Source organism: Homo sapiens, chromosome 12, assembly GCF_000001405.40.
Source record: "Homo sapiens chromosome 12, GRCh38.p14 Primary Assembly".
Taxonomy (NCBI): Eukaryota; Metazoa; Chordata; class Mammalia; order Primates; family Hominidae; genus Homo; species Homo sapiens.
The window spans coordinates 85,565,888-85,580,898 of record NC_000012.12 but is presented as its reverse complement, the minus strand read 5'-3'; the positions used below and the strand labels follow the sequence as shown (position 1 = coordinate 85,580,898).

General features: G+C 35.9%; 1 pseudogene; it reads right to left on the bottom strand.

Moving 5' to 3' along the window:
* Positions 1–12,656: 12,656 nt before the first annotated feature.
* LOC101059974 (p53 and DNA damage-regulated protein 1-like) lies at positions 12,657–13,021 on the bottom strand (annotated as a pseudogene).
* Between the last annotated feature and the right edge of the window lie 1,990 nt (positions 13,022–15,011).

The window sequence follows — 15,011 nt, the reverse complement described above, 5'->3', positions numbered from 1 at the left end:
ATTGAAATTAAAATTGTGAAACAAATTGTTTTTGACAAAAGAGTTTCCTCCTCAGAACTGAATATCAAAATGTGGTTTCCATTTTTTCCACTCACATGGCACAGCTTCCACTGTGGGTGACGTCCAAGATCCTGATTCAGGATGTGGACTAGGAGGGTCCAGGTCACGGTGACAGCAACCAAGGTTGTTGGATTTATTAATGTATTACTCATCTTGCTAAAACAAGGTTTAAAATAAACAGTCATATAGCATTGTCTTACCTTCTATTTCATTATTTTAATTTTAGTTTAATTACATAATCTAATTTGATTGAAGAAAATTAATTATAGTTAAAAAGTAGTTATACCTTGCATTTATGTAGAAAAAGAAAAGAAACAAACAACAACAACAACAACAAAATAGATCCCTGAAAGCTCTGGGGAACCTATGTTTTAGGAAAAGCTCAACTTCCAAAATTTGACAATCTTTAATTGAAATGTACCTCTAAACATAGTGTGATAAACAAGTCTTTAGAACTATATGACAATCAGGGCTGTGCTCTAGTTTCTAGCTTCTCTGCTCCAAAACAGTTTTTTATAGTCAAGCTTATTTATCTTTAAACCACCATTAGATTGAAATAGATCAATAAAAGAATTCTCTGGAGTCCAATGAGGAATTGCTTTAATCATGAAACATTACTCAAAAGCAAAAAAAAAAAAAAAGTTAAGAGCTGTGTATATACAATTATTTTTATCTTTAGACTATCAGGAGATTAAAATTGGTTAATAAAATAGCTGTCTGGTGCTCAAAGGGAGATTTATATAATCAGAAAATACTATATGAAAGCAAAAATGATGAAAGCAAACTATTAGTTGTTTAAAACAGAAATTGATGCCCATCAATCAAGGTAAGACATACACAGTTTCTTCAGATTCACTAGTTTTACATGCACTTATTCATGTGTGTGTGTATTGTGTATTTAGTTCTTGCAATTCTATTACATGTGAAGATTTGTATAACATAATCAAAATTAAAAACTGTTCGGCTGGGCACAGTGGCTCACGCCTGTAATCCCAGCACTTTGGAAGGCCGAGGCAGGCGGATCAAGAGGTCGGGAGATCGAGACCATGATGGTGAAACCCTGAAACTCCGTCTCTACTAAAAATATAAAAAAAGAAAAAAAATTAGCCGGGTGTGGTGGCGGGCACCTGTAGTCCCAGCTACTCGGGAGGCCAAGGCAAGAGAATGGCGTGAACCCGGGAGGCAGAGCTTGCAGTGAGCCAAGATTGTGCCACTGCACCCTAGCCTGGGCGACAGAGCGAAACTCCGTCTCCAAAAAAAAAAAAAAAAACTGTTCTAGCACTACAAAGATCTTCCTCATACTACCCCTAGTAACCATCCCCCCTTCCCACTATTCCCTGAAAAATTTCTTCATTGATGACAACTGAAACATCATTCTGCTACCAAAATCATAAGGTTTTTAAAAAGGATTGATATAACCTTCCAGTATATAGTTTTCATTGCAGTTTTTTCAGTGTCAACAAAACACTTCTCTGCTCACTGTAAACATGTATATTATAGGAAAATGCAGAGTTGTAGTTAATTGACATCCTATGATACACACTATTATAGAAGATTTGGGGTAAGATAAATACATGATACAGACATACAGCTGTCTCTAAGGCCATGACATGGATTTGGAAAGGCTTAGAGCATTGTAAGCCATTTTATGGATTTTACTTTTAGTCTGAGTGTAAGGGTGGCTATTGCAAAATTTTGAGCAAACAGCAATCTGGTTTTATTTATGCTTTAATAGGACTATACTGACTGCTGTGTTAAGACTGTAAGCAGAGGCTACAAGCATTCAGTAAGATAGGGAAGCAAGGTGGTAGCTGTGGATGTGATGAGAAATTATTAGCAACTGTATTTGTCTATATTTTGGAATAAAAGTAAATATTTCCTAACCAATCATGTGTAGAGTATGACAGAAAGAAAGGAGACAAAGAGCACAATGATACCTTAGGATAAGCCCTGGAACAAGGAGGTTGCCTTTCATAGAGAAAAGGTGAAATGGGCTGGGGGAGGGAGGAGAGTAAGAAATTATGACTTACTCTTTTTGGAAATCAATGCATGCACTGAAAGCGATTATTCAGCTTTCAATGTATGCATTGCATTGCTTACTAGAAACCATTGCAGTAGGTCTTTTTTATTTATTCATTTACTTATTTTGGGGGGACGAAATTTCACTCTTGTTGCCCAGGCTGGAGTGCAATGGCGTGATCTCGGCTCACTGTAACCTCCACCTCCCAGGTAGCTGGGATTACAGGCACACACCACCATGCCTGGTTAATTTTTTTGTATTTCTAGTAAAGACGGGGTTTTGCTATGTTGGCCAGGCTGATCTCGAACTCCTGATCTCAGGTTATCCTCCCACCTCAGCCTCCCAAAGTGCTGGGATTACAGGCATGAGCCACAGTGCCTGGCCTGTCTTGATTCTTATTTACTATTATTTATTATTTCTCTAGTTCTCTTCTTTTCTGCTACATCATCTGTTTATTCATTTGCCCAGTTGCTCTTCATTGTTTGCAAGGTTCAATATAAAAATATGCAAAAAGGATTTAAGGTCCAGGATAATTTTCTTATCCTCTAGAGTAGGTTGATTTTTCTTTATGCAAGTGTCTAGGGCTATCAATAGACCAGAGTGACCTTCATATTATCAAGAATTTAAATTAGAAGTTGCAAATATATTTTCCCCTTATTTGAGGGGTGTAGATCATCAGAATCCTAATTAAAACTGTTGGTGAATTACCAATGTCTCTTAGCAAAATTTGAACCCAATTTTTATTTTCATTTCTATGAATTTTCCAAAAACTCTCAACAACTTCTTGATCTCACCAACCACTTCTTCCTGAATTGGCAGATACTCCTAAAGGAAAAAATTGAGCTAAATACCAGGTTCATGTTTCTCTAAGTTTCATTTTCTTTTATTTTGGAATTTGGTCCTATAATTGTCTTCCTAGCACTCCAAATGCACATGTGTGCACATGCACAGACACATACGCAGATACACACTTTCTTAATCTACCTTACTGAGAGGGTTGAACCGAATTACAATTGCCACTAAAAGAAGCAGGACTCCTGGGCCATTAAATATTTTTTTTACATGTAAATCCATATTTTATACCTAATAATAAGAAAGTGAAAAGGTAAAAGTTTAAGAAGTGAATAAACAAAGGTGCTTTTATATTAAAAAAAAAACAAAAAACACTGTTTACAATCCTACTCTAGGTGGTGGGATATAGTAAGAAACGGATAGATTGCCAAGACACCTGCTATTCTGGAACTGACATTCTAGTAGGGGAAGACAGGAAAGGACCAAAAAAGAAAAAAACAAAAAACAGATATCACAAATGCTAGCATGGATTTTAAGGAGGCTCCTGTAACACAGAGCAGGCAGCAGATACTCTATATTGAATGGTCTGAAAAGGACAGTCTAGGGACAGGACACTGAATCCAAGAAATGAAAGACAAGAAGAAGGAAGCTATATGACAATCTGGCAAAGTGGCATATGTCTGAGGAATAAGAAGGGGCAAATGCACCTGTACTGTATGGATCACAGGAGAGAATTATAGAAGACTTTGTGAGATCAAGTGAGGATAAAGTGATATAGAGCCCGGAGACCAAGATAAGAAATGTGATAAATTAAAAATATGCCTGCCTTGGTTTATCTAATACACCCAACCTCCAACCACATAATGAGGAGAACAAGTAAGCTGAACTCTTGCCTCTTGGAAAATCATCAAATATATATTAGGAAAGGCCTTTTTTATATCTTTCTTCTAAAATATCTCTTATTTCTTCTTGTAATGACTTTTGAGTTTTTTGTTTGTTTGTTTTGCTTTTGTTTTTTTGAGATGGAGTCTCAGTTTGTCACCCAGGCCAGAGTTCAGTGGTGTGATCTTGACTCACTGCAACCTCCAAGTCCCAGGTTCAAGAGAACCTCCCACCTCAGCCTCCTGAGTAGCTGAGTTTACAGGCACCTGCCACCCCATCCAGCTAATTTTTTTGTATTTTTAGTAGAGACAGAGTTATACCATGTTGGCCAGGCTGGTCTCGAACTCCTGACCTCAAGTGATCTGCCCACATTGGCCTCCCAAAGTGCTGGGATTAAAGGTGTGAGCCACCGCACCTGGCCCCTTTTAATGACTTTTAAACCGATATGTTATCAGGCTAAACCAGTGGGTTGATGATGCACATTTATTATTTTTTTTCTCTCTTGGAATCAAAATAAAATGAGATAAAATGAAACAGCGTAAACCTAGAAGTAACAAATCACCATTTTATAATCTCCAAAGTAATCATTGATTTAGGCAAGATCATTAATGCATAAAAATGTTAAAAGTAAATGCAAATTTAAAAATGTAGTTCTGCATTAGAGAGTTAATAGCCATCCTTACTTGATGTCCATGATATAGCAAGAATTCCATTTTCCAGATCCTGCAAATATGTTAGTGACAGCTTAATGTCCCATGAGGACTCTTGAGGATCATGAGAAACTACACTAAAACATGACATATGATCTCATTTCCTGTGTGCCACTGTATTTGCCACATATATATATATATATATATATATATATATATATATATATATATTTGACAAATTCAACTAGGACATTTATTTCATTTCATCTTAGAGTTCTCCCTTTCTCTCTTTCTCTCTCTGTTTGTGTGCATGTTTGATCACTTCTTCCAACCCAATTGCATATATAAAACATTCCTCAAGTCATACCACTTTTGTAATACATAGTTTTAGAAAACTCAAATTAAAAAAAAAACACAGATATTCTATGTCACAATGGCCAGTAATAATAAAGGCAAAACATTAATATTAAATGCACGGTTGTAATGACAGACAAGAAACATTCAATGACTAGGACTAGACTATACATCTAGAAAAATGGGTGGTCCAGGAGTACAGCTATGTAATCCAGACCTGTTCAGGAAGTGTTTGAGGTTTGGTGCCATCTCGTGGCACTTTTCTGCTATGGCCTAAATATCAGTGGAGATGATCCTGGGTCCTTATGTTGAGGACTACTGCTATCTTGTGCTTTGTATAACATCTAGAGTGTTGGAAGGCTTTTCTCAGCATGGTTGCTTTGAGCAGCCCTGCATAGGGACGACTCAGAAAGGGTCTTTGTCCATGTTCCTAGTGTTATCTCAGCAGTTTACTGCTGTTGCTTATTATTTCATGCAGGCCTTATGGTAGGAGCCGGGAAATTTCTCAGTTCTCTTATTCCAGCCTCAGTCTTAGGTAAGCCCTGTACACTTACCCTTCCAGGATGGGGCTTTCTGAGCATTCCTTATATCTCCCAGCAACTCACCCTTCCCAATCCCCTGCCGACCAGAACTCTGCCTTGTAAGGATGAGGAGGGTCTAGGCCAAGAGTGCATTTCCTGTCTGTCCCCAGTAGCTTTGCTTTGTATTACTGCAAAAATATAAAACCCTGAGCATTCTTGCCTCTGCCTAGAGTCTGGATTTCATGTCTGTTCTCCAGCAGCACCATTTGAATACTGTAGTCTCATTTGCATACCTGCACCACTGACACAGGGGGTGGAGCTTGTCAGGTTCTTTTCTCTGATCCCAGTCTTTCTCACATGCACCCAGTGGAGGCCCATGTTAAAAGGCTGGTAAGAAAGTGCTGAGGTACCTCATGTTTGAAGTTTCGAGAAATTCTAAATTCTCATGATTTCCCAAATTTAATCTTCAAAAATTCATTAACATTTTAGACGTTTCCCTCTTAGCATGTTTATGTCAGCTGCTTCTTCCTCTCACACTCTGCTAAAGGAAAAATAGTTGGCATGTACACCATCTTTTTGGAGGGGACTGTCACCCTTTTGGAATTCAGTTCACCTAGTTGTCTTTCAACCTCAATTCTCTGATGAGCTCAGAAAAGTTATAATTTCTTAGATTATACTTTCTCTTTTTCCTTTCTTCTATTTTCTTTTTTTGATATTAGAGTAGTAGTGACATTGTCCTGTGTCTTGAGATTTTCTACATCCTAAGTGGAAGTAGAGCTCACACTAATCATATTAAACAATAATTATATAAATGTCAGTTTCACTTCCATAGATCTCTTGTAGACAAGGCATTTTTATATTCCCAATGCCTAGTGATATTTATTTATTATATTGTTGTAGTGGATTGTCCACATGTCTGTCTCTCTAACTAGATTACAAACACGTCTGAAGCAGTGACTGTGTCTCACACATTATTGTAATAATAATAGAGCTTATATTTACAGAGAGCTTGCTATAAATGTGGTCTACTCTGTTATAAACGCTTCATATTTACAATCTCATTTAGCATCATCACCAACTTTATAACGTAGGCATTATCATTCTAACCTTAAGTTCAGTAAGCAAACACAGACAGGGCAGGGCAAGGTATATAGGCATGTGACCTCTACAGTAAAAAGTATAGGGCATTACTCTGAGAAGGGCCCCACACTTAGTTTTAAACTCCCACAACACAAATTTACCTATGTAGCAAAACTGCACTTGTACCCTTGAACTTAAAGTATGAGTTTTAAAAGAAGAAATATCAATAATACATTTTTTAAAAAGAATCTGCTATTGCCACCTAGAAATTCCTAATACTTTTATTTTTGAATTACAAGTAAAGTCTATGAGATATAGAGCAAGCCAGTAAGTGGTGGAGATTGGCCTCAGGATGTCCATGCAAGTGCAGGCTCAGGATTTTGAGCCTTAGGCTTTAAGCAATTGGCCTGGTGCCCCATCACACAGGTATAGGCTTCAGCCAGTTCAGGGGGTATTCTGGGGTCCCAAGAAAACCAGGTGGCACCTGGGTCCAGATTAGGAGCCATGGTGAGATGCAGTAGAGATGGCAGTAGTGGTTCTAGCCACAAGAGAGAAGTGAGGCTCCATATATCAGCAGCACTAGGCTCCATGGAGAGAGTATGGCTGGATCGTCCATCCCCAGAGCCCATCCTTGTGGCTTGTGCACAAATATTAACTCTCTAAACCGAGGGCTGGACAAGAACTGTTAATGCACAGGCAATATACTATGTCAGCAAATAATTAAAAAATAAAACTTACACATAAATGTTGTAATAAAACGTACCAGGAAGTGGCTAAAATTCTTCAAAGTGTTTGGAATATCCAGTTTTGAAAACTGCTGCAATATTGGAAAGCAGATATCAACAGTCTTAAAAATAAAAATTAAATTTAAAGATCACCATATTGAACAGAAAAGAACATGATTTCCATATGAATCTTCAAATAAACTAAATTCTCAGGATAACTTACATTTAATCTTTAAAAATTCATTAAAATTTCAGATGTTTTCTTCTTAGTATGTTTGTCAGCTGCTTTTTCCTCTCATACTCTCCTAAAGGAAAAATAGTTTGCATGTCCACTATCTTTTTGGAATAAAGATAACTTTAAAATTAATAAGAAAAGCAACTCTAAAATTAAATTTTCTCTCCTAATTGAAGATACGAAGATAAAATGCATTACCAGGCATTTTGAACTTTATATATATATATATATATAATGAATCCATTTTTAGTTTCTTAAATTGATTCTACAAGTTACAGGGAATTTCTGAAGAAGTGTTAAAATAATATTGTGTAAGTTTAAATTTAAAACTAAACTCAGAATACATAAAATAGATTTGTATTGAGTCATAAATACTCTACATAGCTTTAGTAGTTTACCAAAAATATTCTTCTCAAAATAGAAAATTATTTGTGGCGTTGCATTTCTCAAGAGCAATTGATGTCACTTTCACACATATTTTTAGAAAATTTAAGTATAAGTTTTGATGACTTAATAAACAAATTTGCAGAAGTGATCCAGAAAAATCTTATGATTAATCAAGATACCACATTAATAAAGTATTAAAAGATATTGACATTTTCAATGATATAGAATCCTGGTGAGTGAATATGTTCCCTGATATCCCTAGATACAAAGACAAATCTCAATCTTTAAAACTTTGATTCTGTTCAATTTAAATCTGTTTTTCAATATTTTGTTTATCTTTCACTATTTGTTATATTACATAAATTTATGACACCAAAATGTTTTTCGTTTGTAAATTTATGTTTTTATTCATGTATCATGGTTCTCTATTACATTTTATAATTAATAAATTTTTAAAAACTGTTTAATTTTTAGTTACATTTAATGTCACTTTTTTCCTGCATTTCTTATGAGGTAACCCACATCATCCTATTGCAGTAGGCCTCACAAATTTTGCAGCTAGTAAAGCACATAGACAAAGTAAATTGCATAAAAACTCATAGCTAGCAAATAAAGCAGTCAGTATTTCAACTCAGAAAGTCTGGCCCCAAATCTCTTAATCACTAGGCTATGTATACAATTTCTACATTAAGGAATCAAAGCCCATGAGGGCAAACGGAGTGTAGGACATGATCAATAAGTAATAATCCAGGTAGAAGGGAGGACTATGTCTCATTGGACAATGCCGGTATGGTCTCCTGGAGCTGTTGATTTCAAAAGTTGCTGTTACCGTGAAGAACCAGATGATATTAATAAGCACAAGATAATACAATTTTAAAGAACTTGCATTAGTTTGTTAGAGCTGCTTTAGCAAAGTTCCACAACTTGGATGACTTAACCAAGAGAAATGTACTTTTTCATAGTTCTGAAGATTAGGAGCCAGAGAAAAGGTAAAGGCAGGGTCAGTTTCTTCTGAGGGCTGTGAGGGAGGTATCTGTTAAACTGCTCTTTTCTTGGCTTATACATGGATGTCTTCTCTCAGCGTCTTCACATTTTTTTTCTGTATACATCTCTGTGTCCAAATTTTCCCTTTTTAAATAGATATCAATCATATTGTATTAGGGGACACCTTAATGACCTTATTTTAACTTGATAACCTCTATAAAGACTCTAAGTACCATTGTGAGGTACAAAGGAGTGAGGACTTCAATATATGAATTTGGGCGGACACAGTTCAACCCATAACAATGCTATATGTTTTAAAGTGTTTTCACAGTGTGCTTTTATTTTTGCTTAGAGTAGGACTAAATGAAATGAAGAACTACAAAGGAAAATATAATAATTTCTACATTGAATAAAAAGACACTGATGTCTTCAATTATATGGAGTGACGGTGAATATGTTTCTTAATGTCCCTAGATGTTAAGACATATTTCAATCTTTAGGACATTGATTCTGTTCAATTTAAATCTATTTTTCAGTATACCACTAATGTTAATCAAATTCAGTATTTTGTAACAATAGCATGTCCTCCACTAGAAAAATAATTTAAAAATTAAATTCCATTGCAGAAGATTGCCTTGGGTACAAAAAAAGGCAACACTAAAAATTGGGGGTAAAATATGCATATTTTTCTGAATATGTACATTTTGTATGTACATATATATGTCTCTCTCTCTCTCGAAAATTATGGAATAGTAAGAGAAATGTTATCACTGAAAACAAATTGCCAGCAACTAAGATAGATTGAGGAACAATAAATATTCAAGAACAGCTATATTTTATTATTTTAAAAATCAGAAAAAGAAAAATATAAAGTTTTCTTAAAGTAGGAAAAAACAGCATTTTTTTCAGAATATCTTCAGTAAGCAGCCACTTTCTAGAGCTGTAAACCGTGAAGACAGATCATAGTGTTCAGCTGTGTAAACTAAGACACAGATAAGGAGATCCAGTAGGTTGTAAAAGTAACAATACTCATCACTTACTGTCTTTTATATTTTATATCATACTTGCACTGTTATATAATTTCTAGGGACTTTCAGAGGAATTGTAGTAGCTACAATGAATTATTTATCTGCACATGAACACAAAACAAAAAAAAAATGGAGTTAGTCCATGTTCCCAAATACGCATTCGAGGGAGAAGTGTTGTAAATCTATAGAAGAAAATCTCTTAAAGCTAAGGATTTGTGTTGAAGTAGGAAATGTTCCTAATGCTTCAGAGGACAGTTACTTGGGTGAGGCTTTTGTTTCTGCTCTGTATATTTGAAATCAAAGGTTTAGAGTGTCTATACTTTTAAAAAGAGAGTGACTTTCACAGTATCCTCATACTGTTAAGTTTAAAAGATTACTTATTTTGTTTTTCAATGCCATATCTAATTAGGACCAACATTGTTAAGAAACCTAGGTTAATATTCGCTAACCTTAAATATTAGTAAAAATTCTTAGACTTTCAAATAAGGCATTTTTTCCTCTTATATTTCTCAGCTTATTGTATGAAGAAAATGGCAAATAACATTTAGATTATGAAAAGAGAATCTGGAGCATTTATTCAATTATCAGTATAGAGTAGTACAACTACAACTCCAAACCAATAAATTATGCAGTTTAATTCAGTAAGTGTTTTTCTAAGCTACAAGGAATCCTATAACGGGAATAGAAAATTTAAAAAAGGAAAAAATATTGTGAATTTACAAATTGTATTTTATTTTAGGAGAAACTAGTGTTATTTTTTTCTACCCTACCATACACAGTAGACCAGCAGAGTGAGCACACTGGTTTTGCATGACAGTTGTGGTAGGCAGAATTCTAAGATGGTCTTCATGATCCCCACCCCTAGTATCCAATTCTAAGTATCCAAGCATAAGCTTTTCTCTTTGTTTGCAGACAGAAACTTTACCTCGCTTTTAACCATGAATATGGCAAAGTAAAGGAATTTTGCAGACATAAGGTTTCTAATAAAAAGGAAGATCATCCTGGGAGGACCTGACATAACCAAGAAAGCCTCTTAAAAGAAGAACCAGGCATTCCCCGAAAGAAGAGACTCGAAGCAGCAGGGATTCTTGCCTTCTGGTCTTGAAGAAGAAACAGCCATTTTCTGAACTACCTATGCAGAAGGTTACCTCTAGGAACTGTGAGCATCAATCTCACAAACACAAGGAATTGAATTCTGCAAAAAACTTGAATGATTTTGAAGAGGATCTCAAGCTCCAGATGAGAATACAATCCTGGTCACCTTTACTGCAGCCTTTTGAGATCAATATGAGGACACACTTATGCTGTGCCCACATTCCTGACCCATGCAAACTTTAAGGTAATAAATATATATTGTTTTAAGCCACTATTTGAGATAAATTTTATACAGCAATAGAGAACTAACATACGTAACAATCATGAAGTGTGCTAAAACATAACTGCAGAGAGCTCATCAGAAAAATGTTATTGGTCATAGCCTTTATATAGATCTTACAGTCTAAATGTTTCAATATTTATTTTCAGTTGCTTACACAAATATAATCACACACACACGCAGACACACACATACAGGTACACATACATATGTATACCTGAGAAACTCTAAAGGGAAAAATTAATCGCATTTAAATAACAGTTGTTAAATTACTAAATCCAGCATAGCTTGGCTTCGGGTAAGGTTTATCCCAGCCTTTGTAAGTATCCCAACTTGTAGGCACTTGCCCATTTTAAAAATATGACTATCAGTATGCTTCCTGTTCTACTTGAGGTCACATGGCATGACTTCAAGATAAAACATAACTCTGTAATTCTATATAAATAGTAGGTTAACTGTTGACAGAAGATTTTTGAAGTTTAAATAGATTAAAACTATAAAAACCAAGAAAAGTTTCATGTAATTTACATTAATAGAGAATAATTTATCAGAGTAGAAAGACCATCATCATTCAAAGACATAGAAAAATCACCAAACAAACTTAGTTTAATAGTAGATTTTAAATAGAAAGATAAAATATGACATGAAGCATTAGGTATGTATTTGTATTACTTTTACAATCAAAGTTGAAGAAGTATTTCCATCCGTATTTGATTTTTTTTTTTTTTTTGCCCTGACAGCACATTCACACTGGGACCTCAGACCACTAAAGGCAGAAGGTACTCTGAGCAGTCAGAGCTGGCCAGGCCCTGCTTTCAGAGGTGGTGGGGCAGCATTCTTGACACTCGTTATATGCTGTTATATGCTCAGGGGCACACCCACTCACTCATCCCTGGTGCAGGACTCTGCAACACCCTCCTGACCAAAGAGCAGCCACAGATGGCTGATAAGCAGCATCTACTCTTGGAAGCAAGTAGGAAAAAAGGGGCAAAAATGGAGGCAGTAGGGAGAAATGTGTGTGTCTGCCCATGGAAGGCTGTGGTGAACCACAAAGCACCACGATTCTGTCCTTTACTCAGAAACCACCCTTGAGCCTCCTGCTTTATTCCAATTCCATTACACCTGCCTGAAATTGTCTCTCCCCTTTCTAAGAGGAATGCTGGAACAAAGCTTCCATTGTCCCTCTCCCTTCCTCCCTGCTCAGGGCCCATGTGAACAGCAGGTCATTGTTGAGAAGTGCCTGTTGCAGTCATTCTCACACCCCACAGCCACTGCCACACACACCCACTGGTGACTGCCAGGGCCTGTCAATAGATCTTATGTCCACTGAGCCCCCGTGGTGAGGTCCAGCAGCCACCGACAGGTTGTGTTCCCTCCTGCCGTCAAAGAGCACCCAAGTACTTCAGACAAAGAGGCTTTGTACAGGAGCTATGGCCAGATTCTTTACACCTGATCCCTTACAGGAGCGCCTGTCCTTACAGGCATCAAGGTTGGAGGGTCTTCGGTCCTCCATGACCCCAGGTAGAGGAGCTGGTCACTGGTACCCCATCTTATTCTTGTGTCTCATCCTTTCAAGAACTTGAGAGCTTTATGTTCATCCTGACTGAAGGGGTTCAAGTTAAAACTCTTTGGCTCTGGTTTGCCTTGGGCCCATTGTTTTTGGATTATTTCTATTTATCCAGATGATCCTGATTTTTCTTAATCATTTCCTTCACCTGAGGGTGAGGCATCTTGACAAACATGTTCCTGAGGCAAACCACATCTTCAGAGAGGCTGAGACCATTCTGCAGGGCTCTCAGGCCCTCTGGGTTTTTATTCCTTTCGGTGTCCACATCCACAATCTGCTGTTTGTCCACCAGCACCTCCTCAACAAGCTCCTCCACCTCGAACAGGTACCACAGAACTTGCTCTGCATCATGTGACAGCATGGCACCAACCAACTCGGGTGCACAACCCCTCATTTAATCTTTCAATGCTGGAAGAAACTGCTCCATCATGTAATTAAAATACTGTACAGTGTTTTGAAATTAACATCTTGACACCAGTAATCTTATGTGTATATATTTAACTTTAGATTAAAGTCAAATAGGGCCTAAATGTGATTTCTTTCACCCTTAATAAAAATTTCAATATTCCAAAGGTGATCTAGTCATCTTGGAGCTTAAGGAATGTTGCCTTCCCATTGCCAGGCAGGGATAAGATGCCACTTCTACCTCAAAACTCTTCTAGGAGTTTTATAAATTTGCATTTTGCATTTAGGTCTATGATCTATATTGAGTTAATTTTGGAAAGAGTGTAAAGTCTGTATCTAGATTCTTTTTTTTTTTTTATGTGGAAGTCCAGTTGTTCCAGAACCTTTTGTTAAAAAGATTTATCTTTTTTTGTTGTATTGTCTTTGTTCCAATGTCAGTGATCAATTGACTATTTATATGGACCTATTTCTGGGCTCTAATTAAGGGAGTACTTATAAATATCATTTGGGACCCTTCTGTGAGGAAGACTTGACCTTATCCTTCATTTATTCATTTAATCAATAATTTGGCCATATAAATATGTATTTCTGTATATTTATTTTATATTTTGAGTTATAATTCAATACTACCTTGCTTATTTTATTTTTAAAGTTATTCTAGTTTTGGCCATTGAGAGCTCTTTTAAATTGGTTCCTGTGTCACTTTGACATAACCTCATTCTCTTTTGTTTGTTTGTTTTGAGTTTTTTCTTACTTTCTGGCACTATATGTATGATGCTCTTTTATTTTATTTTATTGCCTTAGTACCAGAATCTGCCATTTCTCCAAGGACCCCTGGTTCATTTCATTGGAAAATGGTAGCTATTGCCTTTTATACATTGCTAATTTGTTTTCTTAGAGATAATTTATACCAAAAATCTCCCAAACCAGTTCTTTGTCCCTGAAACACCGTTAATAGATTTTTTTCCTCTTCTATCATAATAAATGTCATGGCAGGGCAGTCTACACAACTGCCCCCACAAAACTAAACAAAACAAAATAAAACAAAACTAAGCCTGGGCTTCATCACTGATTCTTCATGTTCCCTTAGGCCACATATAAAACAAACAAACAAAAAACCAACACATTTTTCTTTATTATATTTTGCTGCTGTGGATGCTTATTTTGTCATTCTGCCTCAAAAACTGCCTTATTCCCATGTATTTTCCATAATGATGCAAAATTATGGTAAACTCTGGTATAACGTTACTGAGGAAATCAAGAATAATTATTTCTACCTGTCTCATCATCGCCACCTGGTATCACTTCCCACTTCCTCTCCAACCATCCAGCAGCATTGAATTTCTTAAAGTCTCCCAGGAGCCTCATGCTCTCTCACCTCCTGTCTCCACCCATGTTGTTCCCTCTGTTTGCAACACTTTTCTTTGACACTGACTCAATTAAGTAGCATTCACTCTTCGTGTTCAAATTTAAGTTTCACTTTTTTGCCCCACCATGAACATATATTACAGTAGCAATCCAAAAAAGTAATTTACACAAACTTTTAAATGCATATTTTCCATTAATAGAACAACCCATGTTTAATAAGCAATATATATGTTAAAAATCAACAGAAAATAGAATTTTTTAAAACAATGAATCCTTTATGTATTTATAATCCTTTAAATATTTTGTGCATATTATTTTATTATGAAAGCTATTTATAATATGAAGTAGAACTAAGTTTACTTTTCATTTGTTTCTGCTTATAAATACTATATTCCCTGAGATAAATCAATAAATAAGAATATATAATTCATTAGTGATAACAATGATAATCATTTCTGGAAAAATGACAGGCAATCCTCTGAATTAAACCCCAAGTCTCATATAATATATCATCATCTAGCTAGTTAGAAATGAACTTGGGCATTCTTCATAAGCATGTATAATCTTGTGTTTCAAAA